The sequence below is a fragment of the Homo sapiens genome, chromosome 1, assembly GCF_000001405.40.
Source record: "Homo sapiens chromosome 1, GRCh38.p14 Primary Assembly".
Lineage (NCBI taxonomy): Eukaryota > Metazoa > Chordata > Mammalia > Primates > Hominidae > Homo > Homo sapiens.
Genome location: NC_000001.11, coordinates 56,627,770 through 56,655,236, shown reverse-complemented (window position 1 = coordinate 56,655,236; position 27,467 = coordinate 56,627,770). Strand labels below are relative to the sequence as shown.

At 37.9% G+C, this 27,467-nt stretch overlaps 1 protein-coding gene and 1 long non-coding RNA gene across 3 annotated transcripts in view; one reads left to right on the top strand and one right to left on the bottom strand.

The window, feature by feature from the left end:
• Window positions 1-9,923, bottom strand: part of PRKAA2 (protein kinase AMP-activated catalytic subunit alpha 2) — a 70,022-nt gene extending 60,099 nt beyond the window's left edge. Inside the window, exon 1 of one of the 2 annotated variants that reach the window (NM_006252.4) lies at window positions 9,756-9,923. In NM_006252.4, the coding sequence (NP_006243.2) occupies window positions 9,756-9,849 (94 nt within the window). In that variant the 5' untranslated portion in view covers window positions 9,850-9,923. Of the gene's footprint in view, window positions 1-9,241; window positions 9,485-9,755 lie in introns of those variants that run through there. The other variant, XM_017001693.2, reaches the window with a different exon arrangement.
• LOC101929935 (uncharacterized) lies at window positions 9,919-27,446 on the top strand. The gene is made up of 3 exons (NR_135111.1): window positions 9,919-10,019; window positions 11,613-11,737; window positions 27,183-27,446. It is a non-coding gene; the product is annotated as an uncharacterized LOC101929935 (long non-coding RNA).
• The last annotated feature ends 21 nt before the right edge of the window (window positions 27,447-27,467 follow it).

Sequence of the window (27,467 nt, the reverse complement as noted above, 5' to 3'; positions counted from 1 at the left end):
AAAATGATTTTTTTAAAAAGAAAATGAAAATAACTTATACTTATCATATTGCCCAAGTAAAACAAGCATTTAGAAAAAAAAAAGTATGGTATATTTAAAAATGTTAGATCTATTGTTTTATGACAGTCAGTTTAACTTACCTTATAATTCATTTATAATTTAGAAACTGAGATGTTGAATAAGAACACACTGTTCTTGTTTTAATAGTATATATAATCTGAAGAAAAATGATTCTGAAAAAACAAAGTATATTAATAACATACTAACATTCAGAGTAAGAGACATATAGCAAGATTTTATAAATTATCTTTAATCATATAAAAGGCTGTTTAAAAAGATCTAATGGCAGATTAAAAAGAGAATTATGAATATTTTAAAAACAAAGGTACCACCCAAAGAAATACATAAAATTTATCAGAGGCAAACACTGCCAAACATAAGACACCACTTAAGCAAGAATACTGTTCCCTTGAAGGGGTGAAGAAGGCTTCTATTATTAGCAGAGATAACTGCCTGAAATTCTTTCCTTAATAACACCATACTAAAAATAAAAAGGTTCATCATATTTCAAAATAAACACATTGCTTTTCATACGCATTTCAATCACTTCAATAACAGATAAAAATAAAAGCCTGATTTAAGGTTTACATTTCTCTTATATTTGTAGTTGATAAATACACTAGGTAGATTTGCTCTCATTTTTATAACATATTTAATGCTTTAAGGGTCTTGTGCCAGCCACTTACTCATTATTTCTTAAAGGATTTGAGATTAGATCTTCCTGCTAGGTCAAATTAAATTATCTGCTTGGCTTCAAAAATTATTAATACTTCCTCTACAAAATATTTTCTCTATCATTTAGGAAACCACAGGAATCTCAGAAGAATAAATGGGGTGGTATTATTATTACAAAGCAGTACCAAATGCTTTCAAGAAAGCTAACATGGACCACAAGGTAAGTGGACATTTTGGGATGTTTTTACAAAAAGAAGCAAGATAAAGCATGGTTGTGTCAGCATGAAAAAGGGAGAAAGCTCATGGAACTGAGGTAATTACCTCAATATATGACCAAACTACAAAATCCTTTCTAATTTATATGGATATGTTAAGATAAAGTTTGGTAGAAAAGCATTTTTAGCTCAGAGTGTATTATCTGAACTGAAAATATATGTATAGCCTCATTTTGGTTCTACTACAAGTGGACCAGGACTTTAAAATGACCCATTCATACTAAATGCCATCTGCTGCCCACACTTTCCCCCTTCCCAGCTTATGCCTCTTTCCTCCAAGAGTTTCTATGATGGATACCATGGGATCTGGAATACATACATACATATATATGTATGTATACAAAATATATATAATGTGTTTGTGCCTTCCAAGTGATGCACAGAAGATGGTGAAAAGTGAGCAGCTTCTAGAGAATTACAGGTTTCTGAACACATTCATTTGCAGAAATAAGACCAGAGTAAAACAAGACAGGAGGTAGTGAATTCTTCCCTCTCTCTCATCAATAAATTTCTGGTCTCAGAACCAGATCACAGATTATTCTCATAGTTCAGCTAATTGTGGGTTTAAGTACATAATGGTGTCTACATACACAAAAGTACATAAGTACTTCTGAGTGCTTTTTCATCTATGTACATTTTCTCATGTACTTCTCACAACACTAGAAGAGAACATATGGTATTATTCCCATTTTTACAGATTGAGTTTGACCACATAGCTGGTTTATGACAAAACAAAGGTTCCACACCAGGTCTTCTAAGTTCAACATACTACAGAGAGTATTTATACTACATCAGGCTGCCTTTGTGGACATACTATGAAAATAGCTACCATTTATAACATTGTTTCCTATTTAAAATACCCTTTGAAAGTCAATCAACTGGCTACACCAAATGAACAAAATCCATTCAGATATTAAGGACACAATTCAAAAATCATATAAATTATATATATATTATATATATCTATATATATCAGCAAGAGAAACCTAAATAGCACGTATTTACCTAATTGTGAGAATAATTCAACTGATTTTAATTCAATCACTAATCTAGTATTTGAGAAGAAACATAATTTCATTATTTGGAACCAATATTTAACACTTGTTTAGAATTTGCATAATTTCAAAAGTAAAATCAATTTACTGTGAATGTGTGTACATTCACTTTTATTTAACTATTACTTCCATTTCATTCTTGTTTCATTCATCTTCCATATTTGGGAAAAAGCAAATTACATGACTTAGTCATACAGGATATTGTTTTTAATATAAACATTAATAAGTATCATAAAGCACAGATAAAGTAGTCATTAAGAGCTTTCTTCAACCTAGGCAACCACAAAATAGGGGCAGATTACTACAGCTCTATCTCAATGTTGGTGTGAGAACTGAAGGCATTTCAATGGAAAGTAAGTACTTTCTAACACAGGGTGCAGAATTTACCTACAATTGCCATGCATCTCACCATCTCCACAAGTGTCATCTATCTGTATAGCATTTTATCTTTTCCAAAGCCATTTTATATACCTCAACTCATTTGATCTTCATAACTATTCCAGAAGGTAGGCAGGACAAGTATGATCATTGCCATATTACGAAGGAGGAAACAAAGGCTCAGCATCTAATGGTTTTTCCCAAAGGTGAGACAACTGGTAGTAGAAATGGAATTAATTCCAGAGCTAATACCTTCTTATACCAATGTTTTCTTCTAGAACATCAAATCATTTGTACAAGTTCTCTTTAGTCTGGTTACTAAAGGTTACTGGCAATCACTAGTCAAGATTACCTTTATAGCCTGTAATCCCAGCACTTTGGGAGGCCGAGGCAGGTGGATCACAAGGTCAAGAGAGCAAGACCATCCTGGCTAACACGGTGAAACCCTGTCTCTACCAAAAATACAGAAAATTAGCCGGGTGAGGCCGGGCGCAATAGCTCACGCCTTTACTCCCAGCACTTTGGGAAGCTGAGGCGGGCGTATTACGAGGTCAGGAGATCGAGACCATCCTGGCCAACATGGTGAAACCCCATCTCTACTACAATACAAAAAATTAGCAGGGCGTGGTGGTGCACGCCTGTAGTCCCAGCTAGTCGGGAGGCCGAGGCAGTGGAATCGCTTGAACCCAGGAGGCAGAGGTTGTAGTGAGCCGAGATCGCGCCACTGCACTCCAGACTGGTGACAGAGCAAGATTCTGTCTCCAAAAAAAAAAAAAAAAAAAAAATTAGCCAGGCGTGGTGGCAGGCGCCTGTAGTCTCAGCTACTGGGGAGGCTGAGGCAAGAGAATGGCGTGAACCCAGGAGGCGGAGCTTGCAGTGAGCTGAGATAGCACCACTGCACTCCAGCCTGGGCGACAGAGCCAGACTAGTCTCAAAAAAAAAAAAAAGATTACTTTCATATCAGTAAACACACTGAAATCACTAGTATTTCTAATAAACATGGGTTAAAACTGGTAGAATTCAGCACATTTTATAATAAGAAATGAAAGATTGAGGCATCCAAGTAAATGTTGGAAAAGTAAAAATATAAATTTTAATCATCTATATATGGCATTTCAAAAAACGTTATTTATCTCTAAATATGGACTGAAAGACATTTAAATCTTATTTTCTCAATTCTGATAAATATGAGCAGACATAGAAAATTATATCCTTGTAGGTTTGAAACTCAGAACATACTAGGCATTTTGACTTTACAGTCCATAGAGCAGAGACTTTGCAGTCTGAGAACCCTGAATTTGATTGCTAGCTCTACCACTTAATAGCACTGGAACTTTGGACAAGTTACTTAAAGTATCTGATTCTCAATTTCTTCATTTGTTAAATGGAGATAATACCAAACTTAGAGGATTACTCTGGGAATAAAAAAAAATCAAGTGCATATATCATACAGTGATTAGAATATAGTAACAACTTAATCAAATTGTACCTTTTATCACTGAAGTATTGAAAATATGTTTCCTTTTCCCCTGTTCTACATTACATCTACATTTCAGACTCAGGAACTCAAATTTTCATTAACCAGGATGAATAATTAAATATACCCATTTTTTTGGAGTTAAATCTTTTAAAAATCGGTTTAATGATAGCATTGTAAAGGACCTCACAGATTCGCTACTCCAGTGTTATCCTTTAGGAGGGGAAGAAAACAAGGCCCAGGGAGTTAAATTGTTCAGGGCTTCCACACTAGCACACAAGTCAAGCAAGGGACCAAAATACCACAGACATAACTTTTAGCTCCATCAATTGATGGGACAGTTGTGTGAAATTTGATTTATCATTTAGGACTTGATATTTACATTTCAAAATAAGGTAACACTTTTTGTTTGTTTGTTTAAGTTTTGGTTTATCCTTCCTGTTATCTCAAAAACAAGTGGGGAATTAGTAAAATATTTACTTAATTTATTGAAAGCAGTCTGTAGGCCAGTCATGTAACTATTTGAAAAATGGAAAGGGTAACTTCTTCGTGAGACTTTGCCGACAAGAAAGAACCTAAGTATCCCTTGGTGTACAATTCCAATGAAGAATATTTATTTCATAAACCACATATGGGTAAACATATTTCTGGAGTAAAATGTTGAAAAAAATTTGTTTAAATCATAAACCACATATATACTACTACTCATCTTGAAAATGCAGGCTTCTTTTTAAATAAATAATTAGCACTATAATTTTGTTTCTTCAATCAGTCTTTATATAACACAAACAACAGGACCATTCTTCTAGAATTTCTATCACCTTTAGAGAAGTTAGATAAGAAATGAACAAGTCTAATTACAAGAACTCTCTAACAGTTTTACCCTACCCAGAGTGAGAGCCTAAACAGTCAATATAGAGAAAAATTTTAAATAGATAAAAAGCATTACTTTTAAACTCTGTCAGCCCATATAATCTGTTTCCAAAAACAGTCCCTCAGCAACCTGATAATACAATAGACTAATGAAGGACAAAATTTAAAACATTTTAAATAAGGCTTTATTAACAAATACAAAGATTTCCATATACTTTTAAAAAACAAATTAAAACTACTGCTGTTAAAACTATTCCATTTTCAATTTTTGCTTTTTGTCCCTAACTTTGGTCCATAAATTGATATATCAACAACTGAAGTTAAAATTTCTTTATTTCTTTTTTTTTTTAAGACGGAGTCTCGCTCTGTCACCCAGGCTGGAGTGCAGTGGCACAATCTCGGCCCACTGCAACTTCCGCCTCCCGGGTCCAAGTGATTCTCCTGCCTCAGCTTCCCAAGTAGCTGGGATTACAGGCGCGCACCATCACAGCTGGCTAATTTTTGTATTTTTAGTAGAGATGAGGTTTCACCATGTTAGCCAGGTTGTTCTCAAACTCCTGACCTCAAGTGATCCACCTACCTCGGCCTCCCAAAGTGCTGGGATTACAGGCGTGAGCCGCCGTGCCTGGCCTAAAATTTCTAAATCTATAATTAGCATAACAGTCAAAGTTGGGCATGGTGGGACACATTTGTAATCCCAACACTGTGAGGCTGAGGCAGATAGACTGCTTAAGGCCACAAGTTTGAGAACAGCCTGGTCAACATAGTCCCTAAAAAAAACTAATTAATAAACAAATAAGAAAAAGGAAAAAAGTCAAGAGAGAAAGCACATAAAATGTTCCTTACTTCTCCATTTCCATGTTTTTATAACCATTTATCTAACTATCTATCTATCTATCTATCTTTCTATCAATCAATCAATCAATCAAAGACAGGGTCTCCCTATGCTGCCCAGGCTGGTCTTGAACCCCTGGGCTCAAGGGATCCTCCTGCCTTGGTCACCCAAAGTGCTAGGATTACAGGCATGGACCACCACACCTGGCCAAGCTTTTAAAATTACATCATCTCCTATTAGCTTTTTTAGTAGAAATTCATTTTGCAATGTCTAAAATCTACAACAATTAAAAATGCACCTGCATTCAACAAAAACTGCTGAGACAATTGGTTATCCACATGGAAAAAGTTAACCTTACAACCTCATCTCACACCATACATAAGAATTAACTCAAAATAGATCACATAGTTAAACATCAGGGCTAAAATAATAAAATATTTACAAGAAAACATAAAAGAAAATCTTTGAGACTTGGGCTAGGCAAAGATTTCTTGCCTATGACATCAAGAGCATAGTCCATAAAATAATTTTAAAAACTAATAAATTGGACCTCATGAAAATTCAAAACTTTTATACTTCAAAAGACACAAGAAAATGAAAAGACACAACAGACTGGAAGAAAATATTTGCAAAATATATCCATTAAAGGATCTGTATCCACAATTTACAAAGAATCCTCACAACTCAACTTATAAGATGACAAGTAACCCAATTAGAAAATAAGCAAGAGATATAAACAGACATTCCATCAATGAAAATACATAAATGACTAGTAATTACGTGAGACAATGTTCAACATCATTAGTCCTTAGGGAAACGCAAAATTAATGCCTCAATGAGATACTATTTCGCACCCACTAGAATGGCTATAATAAATCAGGCAGACAATAACAAATGTTGGCAAAGATACTCAGAAAAGGGAACTTTCATACATCTTTGATGGGAATGTTATAAAATGGTGTGACCATTTTGGGAAAGTGTTGCAGTTTCTCAAAAAGTAAAACATAAAACTACGATATGACCCAGCAATTCTACTTCTAGTTATTTACCCAAGGTGTATGAAAACATATGTCCACACAAAGACTTACATGTGAATATTCGTAGTGCCATTATTTATAATAGCCCAAAACTTGAAACCATGACCATCAACTGGTTTTGTATAGACAAAATGTGGCATATCCACACAATGGAATATTATTCAACTATAAAAAGGAACAAATTAATGGCACATGCTATGTCATGCATGAATCTCAAAAGCATTGTTAAAGAAGCTCGACACAAAAGATGACATATTGAACGATCACGTTTATGAAGAAGAGCCTAGAAAAAGCAAATTTATACAGGCAGAAAACAGATTAGTGATTTCCTGGGACTGAGGGTAGAAATGAGATTAACTGTGAATGGGTATAAAGAATCTTACTGTGGTGTCCTCAAATGTCCTAAAACCTATCTATAATGATGGTTGCAACATTTGGCAAAATTAGTAAAAATCACTGAATTGTACACTTAGAATGGATGAATTTCATATATAAAATATACCTAAATAAGTTGTTTTCTTTTCTTTTCTTTTTTTTTTTTTGAGATGGAGTCTTGCTCTGCCGCCCAAGCTGGAGTGCAGTGATGCAATCTTGGCTCACTGCAACCTCTGCCTCTCGGGTCCAAGTGATTCTCCTGCCTCAGACTCCTCAGTAGCTGGGATTACAGGCGCCTACCACCACGCCTGGCTAATTTTTGTATTTTTAGTAGACATGGGGTTTCGCCATGTTGGCCAGGCTGGTCTCAAACTCCTGACCTCAATTGAACCGCCCGCCTCAGCCTCCCAAAGTGCTGGGATTACAGGTGTGAGCCACAGTGCCCAACCATAAAGCTGTTTTCTAACAAAAAAAAAAAACATGACTTTTTGTTTCGCTTGTCCCTTGAAGAATTATATGAGTAACAATTGTACTAATCCTAATCTTGGATAGGAAACCATGGTATCACTTTTGAGAGGATCTAACACAGTGTTAGGAAAACTCCTTCAACTGGTTGTTCATTGGACAGAGGTTCTCCAGGAAAAGAATTTCTCATAAATCAAAGTTCTTTCTGTTTATATTTTAAGAAGCCAGTGCCTGGAAACAATTCAAAAGTACATACAAGAGATTTAAGTTGTCTTTGGCAATGGACTGATTGATCTGATGAGTATTCTACTCTACATTCAGATTACAGTATATGAACTTAAAAAGACAAGCAAAAACTTTTAACACAATATGAAAGGACATAGGGTTAAGTTATATAACTTTGTGTGTACATGTCCAAATGTCAAAGGCGCTGTTTGCTTGAGCAACTGTATAATGTTGTAACACAATAGTCCTTAATAATAATACTAAATGACAAGTAACATTACAGGCATTAATCCAATCCCTGGATTGTCCTGTATTCATCTTAAATACATTCTAACTATCCACTCTACTTATAAGGTCTTTCAAAAATAACCCAGGACTTTATAACCCTCACAGGACAGCAAAGAATTTTACAAACTTTTTAGGTCTTTGCAAAAATACCACCTTGTCTGACCACCTTATTGAAAACTGCCAACCTCACAAGACTCTCTATCTTCCCTTCCCTGATTCGTTTTTCTCAATAAAATTAAACATACCTTTTACATATATATTCTGATTACTGTCTGCCTTCTCCTACTAGAAAGCTAAACAAAAAGATCTGTTTTTTCCTTGCTGTATCCTCATTGCCTAGAACAGTGCCTACCACGTTGCAGGTGCTCAGCGTTTTTTGAACACATGAATGAGTATTAAATATGTGCAAGAAAACAGGAGCTGATTCTTACCAAAGGAATGAAAAATGAGTCTCTTCTACTCATTCAACAGCCTTGACTTGGGGTTAAAATATGAATTTTACAAGGAAATAGAGACCTCAGAATAAAATTTCCAGACTGCCTACCCAGCATTTCTTCAGCAAAGAGAAAAAATAAAGGTCAATATTTCACTTATAATTCTGGATTTGCAACAAAGTATTTTTAATAAACAACTGTCTCTATTCTGGAGAGAAGGCAGGTTAATTAAATCACATGTGACTAATTAACAAAAAAGAAAACAAATGAAAGTTCCATACTTAACTATTCTTACTAGTTACTTAACTCGAATAAAGTATAACATTTCAAAAGCAGCCTGTTTTTCTACATTCAAAAGGGGATCCTATCTCCATGAAGACAGACCTTAGCAGAATATGCCTTAGCAGTCCTGACCTCCTCAGCCTCAAATCCTCCAAACACCAAGGAAACTTTTTCTCTCCCTTACCCTAGAAGTCTTCCCATAGCCATTTTACAAACACAAACACCTTCAGACCTCTCTGTTTTAATTAACCTCTGACCCAATCCAGCTGCATTCCAGCGTTAAACAACACCCCAGGAAGAAAGACTCACAACCTCTGGCCCCTGGAGCATCCCCCAAACAGTCACCCCCAACAACCGAGAGTCCTGGAACGTGAAGGAATCTGGGGATGGCAGGGACCTCCCAGCAAGACCAGAATTGGAGGACATCTTAGACTTCACTCTGGTACTGACCATTTCTGTGTGACCTTGGGCTTGTTACTACATCTCTAGGGGTCCTAGTTTTCTCACCTTTAGGGTGAGGACAACATGTTGACCAAGTCACTGTGAGGATTCAATGAGATTCCATGTAAAGCACCTAACAGGGCACCCGGCACGAAACGGCGCCTCAGTCCTCAGTAGCGTGGATGATCCCCGCCCTAAGCCTACAGGCTCAGAGCTGGAAGGCGCCTCGCAGAACGAGTCCAGTTCTCCCGATTTTGCAGAGGAGGACACTGAGGTCCAGAGAACACAGAAGTGCCTTGCTCCGACCTCCAGAAAGGCAGATGGGCGCGGAACCTGGAACCCAGGACGCCCATCCTCAGCTCACACCCCCGCCCTCTTCCCTGGACCCTGTGGGGCCCGGGCGCCGGTGCCAGGCGAGGCGGTGCGCGCCACCCTCCCGGGGCCCCAGCTCCGCGCGACCCGGGACCGCTCCACCTGCCGCCGAGCCCCGCGCCCGCCGGAGGCCCGGGGCTCCCGCCTCTCCCCTCGGCCTCCCGCAAGTCAGGCAGCCCCGCACAGCGGTCCGGAGCGCGTACTCAACTCTTCACTTTGCCGAAGGTGCCGACGCCCAGCGTGTCGCCCAGCACGTAGTGTCCGATCTTCACCCGCCCGTCGTGCTTCTGCTTCTCAGCCATCTTCGGCGCGCGCGGCCTCGCTCCACCGCCTGCCGCTCCGCGTAGCCGCCGCCGCCGCCGCCTACCCACAGTGCAGCGGGCCCTGCGGGCGAGGGGGCGGACCCCGAGCCGCGAGGGGCGCGGGGCGGGCGCGGGGTCCCGGGAGAGGGCGCTGGGCGCTTCGGGCCCAGGTGGGAAGCAACGGGCGAGCGGCGGGCGGGGCGGGGCCGAGGGAGGGAGCGCGAGGCGCCCGCTCCCGGGAGTGAGAGGCTCCTGCGGCGGAACCCGAAGCAGCGACAGCGGGGGCCGGGGACGCGGGGCGCTGGGCGGGAGTGCGGGAGGGGCTGCGCCAGATGCGCGGGGTCCGAGTGAGGGGCGGAGGCGACAGGTGCTGCGAGGGGGGTAGGCGAGGGTGCCGAGGGAGGCAGGAGGCCCTTTCTGAGGAAAACCGAAGGGGGTGAAAATAGGGGGTGAGACTGGGGCCCGATCCTAGGGAATGGAAAGACTTGGAAGTCAAACTGGAAGAAGAGACGGGCCTCGCATGTCGGGAGCGAGGGGCTGTAAAAGGGAAGAATCGGGAGGGGAGACTGCGGGAAGGGCCCTGGCCAAAGGGGCAGTGGCAGGAGAGCCTCTAGGAAGCTCCTCAAGTCTCGTCTGAGGCTTTTGGATACAGGTCGCGGCACAGGGAGAATGCACGCAGCTCTGTGCTCTCTTGAATTGTCCTCCTCTACTTATTCTGTAATTCCCAATTATTTTGTCCTATAGATGGAAGAGACCCTCTCCGCCAGAGCTCTCAATTTTAACTAATTTGCCCACAGTTTTCCAAAAAATCTCAGTCACGGTATTTGCTCGAGTGTTTTTTAGCACATGCTTATATAAATATGTAGTTTTACCACGCGCTTATATAAACATATAGTACCGAAATGTGATACAGCTGTACAAGAAGGAAATGGGAAAGACGTGGAAAGGGAAACAATGTTCTGCCCACAGAAAGTAAAATACGTAAGCGACAGAGGAATTGTGAAGGGCGAGGCCAGTATAAGGTCACATATTAAAGGAAGAATAAATGTGATATAGAAGTGAAAAGAGTGGTAAGAGGAAATTAGAAGCATGATGCCTAGGCAGCGTGTTCAAAGACTGACCTCCCCACCCTCCCCCACAAAAAAAAAGAAAAAAGACTGGCAAAGAATTAGGTAATAAAGCGATTATCTCTGCCTCTCTTCCTTCTCTCCCGCCCTTCCTTCCCTCCTTCCTTCCTTCCTTTAATGTTGTCTCATTCTTTAATGTTGTTCTGTCTTTCAGTGATTAAAGTTTATTTGCTTCTCACCACACACACAAAAAGATTCGTATACAATATGTTTGTTAATTAGCTTGACTTATAGCCATTCCACAATCAATATATTTCAAAACATATACATACTAAATATATACAATTTTTATTTGCCAATGAAATAAAAAATTTTAAAACAGTAAAAAAAAATTCTGTTTGGGGATAAGTAATTAAGGATTAGTCAAACATTTATAGCACTGCATGCCAGTAGAGTTTCAAGGTCACATTCCTCAAACATGAAGTCTCTTGAACACTGTTTATATGTAAATTGAAATGTATTGATCAAAAAGAATAGGACACAACAAAACTTTGTTTTCTGATAAGTACTAAATATAGAAATTTCAAACATTCATTCTCATCCAAACATCAAGACAATCTGATGAGAGATGATCACAGCTTATAAATTATAGATATCACAGCTGTTAAACAGAGGCTATTTTTGTTCATTCTTCAGATCATCTTTCTTGCTGACAAGTATCATCTAGGAATCACTCTACCTCGCTGGCAATTTTGAGAAAATAGCCAGTTATTTTTGTGCTGAACTTTCATCTGGTTAAGGGTCATTCCTTCAGTAGTCAAGTGAGTAAGAAAAGACCTATTCTGCTTTTGAGGTATGAGATGTATATGTCTTCTGCTCTAATATCCCGTTAAAAGATGTTGAAAAGTCTTCACTTGAAGTTAGATGATTGCTTTCTTGAAGCTACATAAAGACTAACTGTAAATTGAGATTTCAAAGCATTTCGTACTGTCTTAACTATTTGTTGATAAATACTGTAAGTTAAATTATTATATACTTCATAACTATGATTCTTACATAGCTACTGTGGACTACCTTATAGTTTTGTTACTATGTGAAACATCTATGATACTTTGTTGATTAAGAAGTTCATTTAAACACAATTATTTAATTGTCATAAAAGAAAGATTATTATTCCCATTTTATAGATGATAAAACTTAGTTTTTCCCTTTCTGATTTGCCCAGGGCTAAAAAGTGGCAGAGTCAGAACTCATATCCAGTTCTGACTTGTCCTTCAGTCTGCCTACTATACCGCAGCTGCCTATGCCAAAAGAAAGTATGGTGCTCTAAGAAAGTTAAAAATTGTCACAGTTGTGGTTCCATTTTCATATTTTTATTATTTCTTGGGCAGTCCAATAATATATCCTATAAATTTGTAAGTATTTAAACTACTTTTTGTTGTTTTTCTGACTTTTATTTAGAGGAAAGGTTGAATGGTAAGTGGGTAAGAAGGACAACTCTTGGTGGCAGTACTCAGCCCTCTGTTGTCCTGGACACTTCAAGATAAGGTTCCATATTTGCCTCTTCCTATTCAGCAGTAGAAAACTCGACAGTTAATCAGAGTAGATCTCCTTAAGGGTCATGCCTCTTGGAGGTCTCACCCCTAAAGATGACCTGGTAAATGCAATGTTCCCATTTTATTATCTTCCAATGAAGGTTTCACGCCGCTATTGTTTAGTACCAATCTCTAAGACCAGTGCCCCAGGGAGGTGTTCAGTTCTTAGCGCTGGTCCAACTATTGCTGCTTTACCCTCCTGCTTCTGAAACTTTGGGGTTGTTTTACCTTCAAATATTCTAAAATAAGTCCTGAGTAGGACATTAATGCAAGACCACTAAACTAATATACTGTACTAGACACCATTGGTATTATCAGTAACCAATTATTTCAAGTCTTTGCTCACAGTCACCTTCTTGGTGAACCCTACCCTGGCCACCCTATTTAAGTTGCAGTTTCTTTTTTTTTTTTTTTTTTGTAATTTTTTTTAAATTTTTTTTTTTTTTTTTTTTTTTTTTTAGAAGCAGGGTCTCGCCATGTTACCCAGGCTGGTCTCAAACTCCTGGACTCAAGTGATTGTCCTGCCTCAGCCTCTCAAAGTACTGAGATTATGGGCGTGAGCCACCGCACCAGGCCTAAATTGCAGTTTTATCTCACTCATGCTCTCTGCCCTGCACTCTCATCCCCTGACCCTCCTCAACTTTTTTACATAGCACTAGCCATGTAACATACTATTTAATTTATGTGCTTATTATATTTTTGTCTGTTTCTCCCAATTAGAATCTAAACTTCACAAAAGAAGAGAGGCCTTTTTTCTCTATTTTGTTCACTGATGTATCCTTAGCTCCCGGGACAATGCCTGACAAAATATAGATATCCAAGCAGATTCAGAATGTGGCACCTGAAGTTTATTCAGTGTGGGGGAATCTCTTTAAGGGAAAAAAAAAATGCAAAATTGGGTATGAAAGTGAGAATTTGAAGTGAAAAACAACTCTCTACAAATTTATAAAAGCTGACAAATGCCACAAACATCCCCAAATCCAGACAAATAACAATATTTTTATAAATTAATTATCTAACATACCTCTATAATACCTGTTTTCTACATTTTCTGGCTGTATACTCTTTGATTACCTCTTTATATTTTGTAAATTTTTAAATAGAATAGAAAGATAATTCTGACATTAAGCATGATTCATTAAGTTTTTCATCACATGTTTCTTTTTAGGTTTTCCATTGTACATGTTTAATATAGCTAATATAGAATTTATCAATTCTATTATCATATACATTATACATACATATAGATAGATACATATATGTATTTATATTTACATATTATATATGCAAATGATATGTTCATACCCCACTTGCTGTTTCTGGGGCCTAGTGGAACCTGGTATATCATTCCAAAAATATTTGCTAAATTGAATTTTAGAAAGGGTTAGTTACTAAGCTAGAGAATCAAGTAACAACAATACAGGGAAGAGTGCAGTTTTATTTTATGTATACACATATTAAAGGCAAAGCATAATTTTACATCTCAGCACAGCAGTCATTAGTGAGGTTAGAGAGGCATGAGTTAGCACCTTTGAAGTCTATAGATTCATGATATAGGGCTTCTATGGCTGTCTCCAATTTAAAATAAAAAATTTGGACACTCAATGAATAATAAAGGATGTTTATGGTATTTTATAGGAAGTACAAGCTCAATAATTACATTTTTAAAATTTTGTGTGAAAAACTTCAAACATACACAAAAGTAGAGTAACATAAATAACCTTAGCATCTGTGATGATCAACAATTGTCATCATTTACCCATCTATCTCTGCACTTTTAAAATTTATTTTCAGGAGTATGTTAAAGTAAATAAGCAGATTATTTCACTGGCAAATACTTCAGTATATAGGTCTAACAGATAAGCACTTCTTTTTAACACAACCATACTACTACTAACATATCTAACAAAATTAGCACTAATTCCTTACTGTTATGAAATACCCACTCTGTGGTGAATATCCCTTGATTGTCTCAGGAATGTAGTTTTACAGTTGGTTTATGCTCATCAGGATCAAAAAAGTCACACTTACCATTTTGTCAATACATCTCTTTTAATATGTAGTGTTTTCCCTTCCCACTCTTTTTTAAAAATGTCATCTATTAGTTGAAACATTGAATTATTTTAACTGTTGAATATCCCGATCTTGTTGGATTTATCTCAATAATTATTCATGATCACAAGAGGTAGTAGAGAAAGCTCAGTATTTGGAATAAAAAATCATGGCCTGGTGCAATGGCTCACACCTGAAATCCCAACACTTTGGGAGGCCGAGGCAGGTGGATCTCTTGAGTCCAGGAGTTCGAAACCCGCCTGAGCAACATGGTGAAAATGTGTCTGTACAAAAAAATAACTGGACTGGTGGAGTGCGCCTGTAGTCCCAGCTACTAGGGAGGCTGAGGTGGGAGGATCACCTGAGCCTGGGAGGCAGAGATTGCAGTAAGCCAAGATCACAGCACTGCATTTCAGCCTGGGCAACTGAGCAAGACCTTGTCTCAAAATTATATGTATAATTAAATATGTGTGTATACATGTATATACATATATGTATGTATGTATGTATATATGTACGTATATATGTGTATATATACGTACATATACTCTCTCTATATATTATCTATGTGTATATATTTGTATATGTACATGTACATATATATCCTGAGTTCATGTTCCATCTTAGCCTCTTAGCAATGTGTCCTTAAACAGATCATTTCACTTCTTATTGGTAAAACTAATAGTGTTGAACTAGACTATAAAGTACTAAAGTACCTGTCAGGTGTTGGGACATTCAACTCCCAAACTCCACTCCCTGTTTTAGAGTTAAACAATAGAGGGAAAAAGATAGAGTAATTACTGTAAAGTATTGTAGGTCACCATCCAAGGTATCTCAACAAACTGATCTTGCCACATTATTTTCCCTATACACAGTTTATCTCCTAATATTTATCATCATTGGTTTGTAAGTTTAAGAGAATACTATTATGGGCCTAGCCCCCTTCAAAGAGATAAGTAGATACACGTGACAATACTTGAAACCCTTTAAAGGAAATGTAATAAATAATTTTGAGATGTTATTTTTAGCAGGTACCCTAGTAACAAATATTATACTTAATCCATTTTCATTTTGTGGCTGAGTACATTTCTAAATTGCTTCAATATGAGTCAACATTATAATTTTCAGTGCAGCTGAGAAAAAATAAAACGTTTTGGATCAGACTTCCTTCATGAGCAAATGCATTAATTGGAATAACAAAGGTTGTTTGCTTTGCTGTATAAACATTATGGATCTGACAGCACTTTTAGAATCTTGCTTTCATGTGTGTGTTGACAGTTTGTCTGAAAAAAAGCTCAAACACACTTTTAGATCAGTTAAATCAATTATTTCCCTCTTGGCATGGATTCAGTGACTATCTGTACTGAATACTTTTGAACTGGTGAAGTTGGAGTAAGGAGATACCAGTGTCACCTTGAGTTGATTATCATCTCTGTTATGGCTGTCCGTTGGAATTAAAACACCCCTTGACAAAACTGTGTAATATACCATTATTTGAAGCCTTTTATAATACTCTTTTAATGACCTCAAGTGGGTGTTAATGCTTTGGCTGTTGGCACAATCCCGTTAACATTAACTATTAAGCTTTGACATGATTAATGCAAACTTAAGATAAATAGGTAATTTCAAGTTCTAAATGCTCTATAAATAATAAACTAATTCTCCTTTCAAGAATAAGGACCTTAAAAAAATCAGATAATTCAATTTCTTTTTTTAATTTGTATATAGGCTTAGACTAGGTGCCCTTTCAAGACTCTGGGGTTTCAATTCTGTAAAATTCTGTTAATAGTTTTAAAAGCATTAAGTAATAAACTTTTCACCTTCTACTTTTAAAATATTGAAATGTTTTTAAATTGTTACACAACTAGCTATTCCACAGACAAAAGATTTCTAGATTCTCGGAGTATATCATTGCTTTGTTCTAAGTACATTCATTCATTGAACAAAGATATATTGAATACCTACTGAGTGGCACACTACTCTTCTAGGCACTGGGAATGTAGCAATGAACAAAACAGATAGTATAACCTATCTTATTTACTACTTATAATGGTAGTTTTTGTTAAAGAAAATAATAATTCATGACACTTATTAAAGACAGTAAGGCAGACTTTATTTGGGACTATTGTGAAAGGTATAGGACCTCCTGCAATGAGGTTTTACAGTAGGAGACAGAGATTGGGCTCAACTCCAAATACAACAAAGAAAAGTAGAGATTTATAGCCAAGGAGGAGGGACAAGATGTGTTGATGAATGGAAAATTACTAGGAGGGTGGGGTAATTATTTGCTAAACGGACCTAACAGGATTCTTGCTGAAGGCAGGCCAGGGTGATCAGCTATTACCCAGGGAATGGTGTGGGGGTGAGAAATTTGGTTAGACATCAAGAGTGATCAGGTAGTGAGGGTGGGGAATTTTGGCTAAATTGGCTTAGCAGAATTCTTGCTAAAACTGGGCTCTTGAAGACATGCCCAAGGACAGGACCTAGTGGGTCAGAGGAGTCTGACTAGAGTTAGGTCGAGAAAAAAGTGTTTTGTTGCATTCTACTGTAAGAACCAGAAAATAAGGAGTCAAATAAATATATAATGTAAGGTTAGTGTTAAGTGCTGTGAAGGAAAAGCAGAATAAATGAATACAGAGATGAAAGTGGGGATGGGGGAGGGCAGGCATTTTATATAGGTCATCAAAAAGTCTTTCTGAGAATGTAGCATCTAAGAATTATGTGCAGGAAGGAGCCATTGAAATAGTTGGGATAAGAGCATTCCAGGCAGAAGGAATAGCAAGTACAGCAGTCCTGAGACAGTGCTAAAGGCATATTGGTGGAATAACAAGAAGGTTGATGTGTCCAGAGTGGTGTGGACAAGGAGGAGGATGAAAGGGTTTGTGGTTAGAATGCCTATAGCTAGATTATACTGGGTAAGCTGTATTAAAACCTTTAGATTTTTAAAAAAGTGTAGTCAAGTATATTCTGATAATTTTTGAACAAGAGAGTGACACGATATGAATTATAAACTTAAAGATGGCTCTAGATGGTTGTGTGGAAGAGAGTCTAAGGGGTCAAAAGTGTAAACAAAAAAACTAATTTAGAGACTATTGAAGTAGACCAGATGAATGCTGATAGTAGCTTATACTAGGATGGTAGCAGTGAAAATGGTGAGAGGCATTCAGATTTGGCATGAAGATTTTGAAGTTAACATCAAGAAATTTTGGTGATGGTTAGATGAAAAGTGTGCAAAGAATCAAAAAAGAGAAATCAAAGACTTGGATTTTTGGCCCATACAATGAGATGAATAAGAGTGCCATAGACTGAAGTGCCAAAGACTTTATGAGAAATAAGCTGGGGGAAAAGAAGGGAGGTTGCGGGACAAAATTCTGATCTGACCATGCGAAGTTTGAGATGCTTAATAGCAATCCCAAAGGACACACCAAATAGGTAGTTTGTGACCAGAGTGAAGAGGCCCAGACTCAAAAATGTAACTTTCAAAATCATCAGCATTCAGGGAAGAGGCCCAAATTCAAAATGTAAGTTTCAAAATCATTAGCGTATATCCCACAGCACTGGAGATCCCTTAGGAAGTGAATGTAGACAGCAAAAGGAAGAGACTCCAGGGCTGAACCATCCCAGACTTAGAGACCTATAAAAGGAAGAGGATTGGCCGGTCTCGGTGGCTCACTTCTGTAATCCCAGCACTTTAGGAGGCCGAGGCGAGCGGATCATGAAGTCAGGAGATCGAGAACATCCTGGCTGGCTAACACGGTGAAACCCCGTCTCTACTAAAAATACAAAAAATCAGCCGGGCGTGGTGGCGGGCGCCAGTAGTCCCAGCTACTTGGGAGGCTGAGGCAGGAGAATGGCGTTAACCTGGGAGCTGGAGCTTGCAGTGAGCCAGGATGGCGCCACTGCACTCCAGCCTGGGCGACAGAGCGAGACTCTGGCTCAAAAAAAAAAAAAAAAAAAAAAAAAAAAAAGGAAGAGGATCCTGAAAAGAAATATCCACTAAGCCAAGAGGAAACTTAAGAGAATATTTTCAGCTATTGTAAGACATTATTATCAACTGTATCCAGTGCTACTCAAAGGTCAAGGAAGATGTGGGTGAAGAGTTAACTACCGGATATGATGACTGTGACAAGTGACTTTGTAGTGGAGTGATGGAGATGAAAGTCAGAGTGAAGTGAGTTTATGAAAAAATTGAAGTGAAGAAATAGAGAAAGTGGTTCTATACAATTCTTTTAAGTTTTGCTATGAGGGGAATAGCAGCAAATGGAGGATATGGAAACAAGGGTAGATTTTTTAAGATGGGGAAAAGTATAGCATGTTTGTATGCTACTTGTATGATCCATAGAAAAGGACGAACTGATGTGTGAGAGAGAATGAATAACTGAAGAACATTTAGCAGTGAATCCAAATGACAGTCTTTCAGGACCTTTCACATCAGTTTTCCAGGAACTTGTACTCTAATGGAAAACATACACACTTCAGAAATAAATTTCAGCTGGGCACGGTAGCTCACGCACGTAATCCTAGAGACTTGGGAGGTTGAGGCAGGAGGACCACTTGAGGCCTGGAGTTTGAGACCAGGCTGGGCAACAAAGTGAGGCTAGGACTATAGTCCCAGCAACTTGGGAGGCTGAGGTGGAGAGATCCCTTGAGCCCAGGAGTTCCAGGCTGCAGTGAGCTATGATTGTGCCACAGAACTCCAGCCTGAGTGACAGAGTGAGACCCTGTTTCCAAAAAAAAAAAAATCTAATAAATTTCAAAATGGTGCAAGAAGTGATATGACAAAGTTACATATAGGATTGACTAAAGAGTACTGAGCAGTAAGTTAAACGCTCTTTTATTTGACAAGGGGAAAAATGATGAGGACCTGAACCACTGGTAGTCCCAGTAAAGAAGGAAGGGAAAGGATGGATTTAAGGATTGTTTAGGAGAAAGAATAAATAGGATTTAGCAATTGCTTAGTTATTAATTAGAAGAACAATGAAGCAATTTGGGATGACTTACAGATTTCTGGAATGATACAGAAATCTTGTGGATGGATTGATCATTCAAAAACAGTTCGTAGCCTATCACCTCCTTCCTTAAAAGTGTTCAATAATTTAACATAACCTAAAGATTAGTGTTTAAAACTCTTTAGCTTAGTGTTCACAGCCCCCAAAAAGTCTGCCTTTTTGGTATGCTCTTTACCTTCTGTATTAGTCTACTCTCACACTGCTAATGAAGACATACCTGAGATGGGGTAATTTATAAAGGAAAGAGGTTTAATGGACTCACAGTTCCATGTGACTGGAGAGGCCTCACAATCATGGTGAAAGGCAAAGGAGGAGCGAAGTCATGTTTTGCATGGCGGCAGTTAAGAGAGAGAATTTGCAGGAGAACTCCCCTTTATAAAACCATCGGATTTCATGAGACTTATTCACTATCACAAGAACAGCATGAGAAAGAGCCATTTTCATGATTCAATTACCTCCCACCAGGTCCTCCCCATGACACATAGGAATTATGGCAGCTACAATTTGAGCTCTCCTGTGGGGACACAGCCAAACCATATCACCTTCCTAATGTACTTCCTTGAAACTCAAGGAAGTAGTGGGTTCCAGTTTGAAAATTACTGGTCTACAGAGAAAAATCAAAGTCCTTAAGTCTGGATTCAAGGCTCTCTATGATCTGGTCCCTACCAACCTGGTTTCTTGTCTCATCTTTGTTATCCAAAGCTCTAGTCATATCAAGTTTCTGTCAGTCCTGTGTATACACCAAGTTGGAGCAGGCCACTGCACCTTTACTCCCACTCTTATTGTCTGGTACTTCCTTCATCCTTGATATTCTCCATTACAATCTGCCTAACAAATACCTCCACATCTTTAAAAACTCACCTCCTCTATGAAGCATTTCCACAACCTCCCACACACATTTGACCTCCGTATCTTTAATAATGCTGTGCACCTTGGGTATTTAATTAAATCCATCATCGTACTTATCTGTTTACATGTCTTGTCCACCATTTGACTATCAATCCCTTGAGAGCAAGCACTGTGAACATAGTAGGCACTTAATGCATGTTAGTTAAATTAATGAGTAATAACTGAATGAAATCTCAGTTCAGAAATATCTTTTTTTTCTTTTCTTTGAAAGAGTCTTGCTCTGTCACCCAGGCTGCAGTGCAGTGGTGCAATCTGGGCTCAGTTCAACCTCCGCCTCCTAGGCTCAGGTGATTCTCCCATCTCAGCCTCCACAGTAGCTGGGACCACAGGCAAGCACCACCACACTCGGCTAATTTTTTGTATTTTTAGTAGAAACAGGGTTTCACCATGTTGGCCATGGTTGTCTCGAACTCCTGACCTCTAGTGATCCACCCACCTCAGCCTCCCAAACTGCTGGGATTACAGATGTGAGCCACTGTGCTCAGCCTCAGAAATAACTTTATCTTATTTTACCTATCCCTTCCCAGGTAGCACTGAAGGCTTTTTCCTATGTATTGTTCTGAGGCCCTATATCACCTCTGTTCTAGCACTATATTGTGGTATGACATTGTATTTGTTCCATGACATTATTTTTCTTCCTTTTTTTTTTTTTTTTTTTTTGGTGTATGTGTCCCCTACCTAAAATATTCAAGGGCATGGATTTTATCCTGTTTATCTTTATATCCCCACCACTTGGGTACCCAGTAAGTGTTTTAAGAAAGTATTATTTAATAATTAAAGAGCCACCTTACCCTTTAAAGTCATACATCATGTAATTATGCCCAGCTTTTTCCACTTTTGTGAAGAATTTTCTAATCATTCCTGGCTTGAGTTAATCTTTCTCTCTGGAATTCTATTACCTGTAGTTTTCTCTCTTTTGAGTAATTATCACTCTCTGGAACTGGAACAGTTCTTGATTTAGAGTGACTATAAAAGCCCAAGGACAAGAAAACTTTTATTCTTCGCTATATTGCTATACAGTTGTGGCTCTCAACTCTCCTTTTTTGTGTACTGCTATACTTGAGTAGCACACAGCCATACCAATTTCCAGGGTGCTCAGATTCATTCTACCCTTTCCTACTGGAAGAGGTAAAAAAGCAACACCCTAGAATCTGATATGATTTATTTTATCAAAATAAACAATAAGCTACTGCTTTTGCACCATTACTTGCTTCTATTTATAACAACCTCTTGCCCCACTGAGAATGACAACGTTATAGTCATTCTTTAAGTAGTGATGAATGAATTTAAAAAAGGAAGGAATGCTATTTCTATTGTCACGTCCACAGGGAAGTCAGACCATGCCTTTTATGCAAAACTGGTTTGCTCATTTAATATATTACTATTTATGGCCAGGCATAATTTATTTGTGTGGGCTAGAGGAACACAATATTGTCCTTCATAAACTAAATCCCAAATAAAATAATAACTTTACTTTGAAAAATTATGCTTTTTTTCCCAGACCATGCTAGCCTTGGCGACAAATGGAAATGTTGCAGGAACTGAATTTTTCCTGATGTTTTACAAAATTCTGCTCTCTGTTCTCTATGGAACCCAAGTGACCCATACTCATTTCCATTTTCCAGTGTTCCTTGGCTCTGCTCATCCATCCAGCGCTCATTGCAAGTCCTAAACTTTAGGAGAAGGGATTTTGTTTTCTCTTCACATTGCCTACAACCCTTTACCAATTGAAAAGATGATTTGGGGCCAGGCGTGATGACTCATACCTGCAATCCCAGCACTTTGGGGGGCCGAGGCAGGTGGATGGCTTAAGGTCAGGAATTTGAGACCAGCCTGGGCAACACGGTGAAACCCCTTCTCTATGAAAAATAACAAAACATTTTAAATAATTTAAAAAAAAAAGATTATTTTATTCCTTTTTACAGCCCTTTACGAAGCAGGATCTGCAACAAATTTCTCAGGAAACGGGCTGAGCAACACATGAGGGATATCACCCACAAACAGTGATGAGTAGTTATTGTTGCAAACCATAATTGAGTTGCCCGAGTCTAGTGTGCCTTTCTTCTTTCTTTTGCCACTTGGGTAATTCTCACCTTCTCAGGGAACATCTTCCACTTTCCCCCAAATTGATGGCAGCTTTTTTTTCCCCCCAGTTTGGTTTTCCTCTTTGTATCATCATCCTAGTGCCCCAGAAAGCTTCTCCTAAAGGGGGCAGGGAGAGAACAACGCATGTTTCAAGGAGGTCCCCATGCAAATTTGACACTTTGGTACCCTTGCCAGTGTTCCAAAGTGACCATGCAGATGGCATTGCCACCATAATCCTGTTCTTTTTTTGAGACAGAGTCTTTTTTTGTTGCCCAGGCTGGAGTGTAGTGGCATGATCTCAGCTCACTGCAACCTCCACCTCCCGGGTTCAAGCGATTCTTGTGCCTCAGCCTCCATTACAGGTATGTACCTCCATGCCCAGCTAATTTTTTGTATTTTTACCAGAGATGAAGTTTCACCACATAGGCCTGACTAGTCTCAAACTCCTGGGCTCAAGTGATCTGCCCAGTTCAGCCTCCCAAAGTGCTGGGATTACAGGCACAAGCCACCGCACCCAGCCCATAATCCTGTTCTTATGTTCTTTCATTATTTATTCACTTGATTACTAACATAGATTACGTAATAAATTGTGTAGAATTTCAGGAACACTTAGGGAAGTAATAAAAATTATAATGTATACTGAGATGCTTATCATGCCATCTCTCATGAGTTTTTCCAGGAAAAAAAAATAGAGGTCAAAGCTATCTTCAACTGTATTCTCATAAGTGGGGCTTTAAAATGCTCCCATGAAGAATAAAAAGAAATCATCCTATCTTCCTCTATTTTTAAAATGTATATTTAAAGGCTTTTCTGATATTTCTCAAATGTTTTAGGAACAATAAAAAAATAAATTGAGAGATATTCTCTTTTTTTGTACTGATTCTAAGTCACTTTATAAAACATCTACTTCTTTTAATATGCTTTATTCAGTTAATTATAATTTGGTTTGCTATAAAGTTTACTCATTGGGGAAATATTTTTTAGTAAACTAAATGCTAGTTTTTCAGAATGTAATTCAAGCCTCAAGAATTTTTTGGCCGGGCGCAGTGGCTCACACCTGTAATCCCAGCACTTTGGGAGGCCGAGGTGGGTGGATCACGAGGTCAGGAGATGGAGACCATCCTGGCTAAGATGGTAAAACCTCGTCTCTACTAAAAATATGAAAAAAAAAATTAGCCAGGTGTGGTGGTGGGCGCCTGTAGTCCCAGCTACTCGGGAGGCTGAGGCAGGAGAATGGTGTGAACCTGGGAGGTGGAGCTTGCAGTGAGCCGAGATCGTGCCACTGCACTCCAGCCTGGGCGACTCAGCAAGACTTTTTCTCAAAAAAAAAAAAAAAAAAGAGAATTTTTTATTGTCTAACATGCTAGATACAAAAGAATTATCCTATGAACAACACCCTCAAGGCTTTTACCTTCTCAAGGAGAAGACTTGTACCCATGAAATAATTTTAAAACAAGTTACTTACTTTTTAATTCATGAATTTAAATGGCACCTTATTATATTCCTTTCACCAAGCTCTCTTTGGTTATATAAGAAAGAAGTTAACTGGATTTTTGCTACCTATTTTCATTGACTATTACAAAACACTTGGAGTCATAGACTTATAAAATAAGAGTGTGATTATACACCCTTTATGCCCTTTTCTTTACTACCCCATTCTAAAATCTAATGGGATCTTTATGATGCCCACAGGGCAAAAGCTAAGTCATGTGGTAATTTCTTAATGAAAACAACCTGGAAGACAAGGAGGAATTTTTTTTCTTTGAGATAGAATTAATCAAAACTGTCTTTAACAAATGTCATGTTTCTAAGTCCCAACATTGGACTATGTTCCTTGAATCCAAACTCAGCTTCCATTCTGAATTATTGCTGGAAAGGCTCTCAGCATTGGTTGTATAGACACCTGTTGTTAACTCTTATCACTTGCCTCTTACTTTGCCTCTTAGTTTACTGATTAAGTCTAATCTGCATTCTTGATACTTAGCCCTGTTTTCCATTCCTACTTTATTCAACATCTGAAAAGCTCAACAACTTCTTGATCATCTCCATCAGTCCAAAACTCATTCTATGAAATTTGGACTCACCCTAGGAAACTCTAGGCTTTCACCTGAAGTTGGCATAATATCAGATAAACCAGGAACATACCACTCTGTCAAGTTTCTTGGTCACAACAAGTAATATCCTTAACCTGGTCATCACCTAGCATTTATCGACATTGAAAAGAGAGATTGCTCTTTCCTCTTTCTTGAAAGAGGGTGCCATAAACACTTATTCTTGGACTCTATTTAAAGACAAATCTATTGAGAGGTATCAGATGAAGATATATGTAGATTAGTTGTAGAGGGAATGAATAACTTTATGAATTGGGGAAATGAATTCCTAGTTTGGTTAAAAGCATATTCTATACCTTATTTCCTGTTCAATAAATGGAGCATTTTCGTGGAAAAAAGCCAAAAGTTTTATGAATAGTCCCTTACTTTTTCCCATCTGTTAGAAACATTTTTCAAATATAAATTAAAAATGAATCCCTACAAGAATTTGCATGTTCTCACTCCTTTGCTGTTGGGAGCTCTATATTATTTGTGTCACGAGTCTTAGCCTAGATTGTATCTGATGGAATCCTTCCACTAAATGCAATAATCAGATAAAAAGAACTGATCTTACTATATTCCAAGTGCTTTTCTGCACTAAACAAAAATTTTGAGAATTCAGATGTTAACTATTTTAAATCATTTTACTATTTCTTCCATAATATGTCTAAGATTCTAAATTTAAATTTTCTGGATATTCATTACAAATCTGATATTTCATGAAACAAGACAGCTTTTTTGTCAATTTTTGGATAATTCATCTAGTCTCTGTACTGTTATTCCATTTTGACCTATAAGGAAAAAAAAACCAACATCACTTAAACACTTCACTAAGAAATCACATCCATTTGAGTCCTCAGAAGTTTTGTCATGAACAATTAAGTTTCAAGATCTCTTTTCCTTTTGTATAACCACATTAAAATAATTTTTTCTACTTTTTTTTTTGGAGACAGAGTCTTGCTCTGTCGCCCAGCCTGGAGTACAGTGGCGGGATCTCTGCTCACTGCAAGCTCTGCCTTCCAGGTTCATGCCATTCTCCTGCCTCAGCCTCCCAAGTAGCTGGGACTACAGGCACCCACCACCACACCTGGCTAATTTTTTTTTTCATATTTTTAGTAGAGACGAGGTTTTACCATCTTAGCCAGGATGGTCTCCATCTCCTGACCTTGTGATCCACCCGCCTCAGCCTCCCAAAGTGCTGGGATTACAGGCGTGAACCACCGCGCCCGGCCAATATTTTCTACTTTTGACACATGCTTAGTCTATCTATAACTACAGAATTGTAAAATCTTGGTTTGGAGGAGCAAGGGGAATTGTAGAGATGATATCACTATACTATTTCTGGATGACTGGAAAGATGCGATTTTGTATGAACTTCATCTTAAAGTACTTCATGACTTCAGTGTGAAATTTAAATTATAAAAAATACGCAGCTAAGCCAAGTGAGTTTAGCAATAATTTTATAGAAATTGAAATGTTTATTATATGTGTTGAATGGTAATAGAAAACAGTTTGCATTCTACTATTTCCATTTTTTAAAAATTATCAGCTTTTTCATTCGTTTCTATTGTTATCTACTATTTACTGTGAAGGCACTGCATTATACAACCTAATTGAAATGTTTTTAACAGTGTTAGTATAGTAACAGTCCTCCTGACAGTCTCATAACTACAGGATGTCAATCTCTGAAGGTATTCCCAGTAAGGAAATCACAAAAGAAATAAATGTAGAAAGAACAAATTCAAGAACTGATTTTCATCAGTAGTATAGTAAATGAATAGTGAGTACTCCAGTGATATTTCCTAAACATATAAAAATTGTTTGCACAGATCTCTGTCTTATACACACACATACACACACAAACACACACACACACAGCTTAGCAGGAAAATACTTCAGTATGTAACAGAGAATGTTCAACATTGTTTCTTTAAAATCAAATAATCTCACTGAGGGAAGGAAAAGTGAAAAGTCTCAGGTAGAAAAAGAAAATGGGGAGGAAAAAACCAATACAGTATGTTAGTTCTTCCATGTTATATAATATAAATAATTTCAGCACTGAAAAAGGAATAGTAAGAACAATATATTCTGGGTTATGTATGCATGCATTCATGTAGTCATTCAACAAACATTCATTGAGTGCCCACTCTGTGCTAAGGATTTTACTCGGCCTTGGGTATATGAAGAAAAAAAAAAGCTTTATTTTTATCTCAGAAATGAAAAATCAGAAAGCATAATGACAAGTAAAATGATAGAGGTAAGCACAAGGTATGAAAGAAGCCCGGAAGAGGCATAAATACTCTTTTGTTTTATGCTATCTTATGTTTAATTAATGTATTAGATTTCTTTCTCTAAATTTCCACTCTGGCTCCCAAGCAATCATGTTCTTTGCAAGGAGTTGTCCAAAGAAATATTTAAAATTTCCTTAAATTTACAATGCCATTTTAGTATTTAACTCTTTTTGCAACTCAGGCACATGATTTAGCTTTTTAATCTGTAGTCATAGTAGATTGTGTTATTTTTCAGCTAATATTTGCTCTCCTACATCCTCACCCACCCCATGGAAAGAATATATGTCACTTCATCAACAAAAGGCTTGGCCATGTGACTTTCTTTAGCCAATGGAATGTCAGTAGATGTAATTTACCACATCCTTGCAGAAGTTTTAGATGTGCCTGCATGAATTGGCTTGGTCTCTTGAGCTTCTGATCTCTACCAAAAGAAGCGCTTTCCTCAGGCAGTCCAGGACTGCAAAAACACATACAGCCCAGCAAAGCTGTAGCCAACGCAAAGGCCTGTAAGCATGAAATA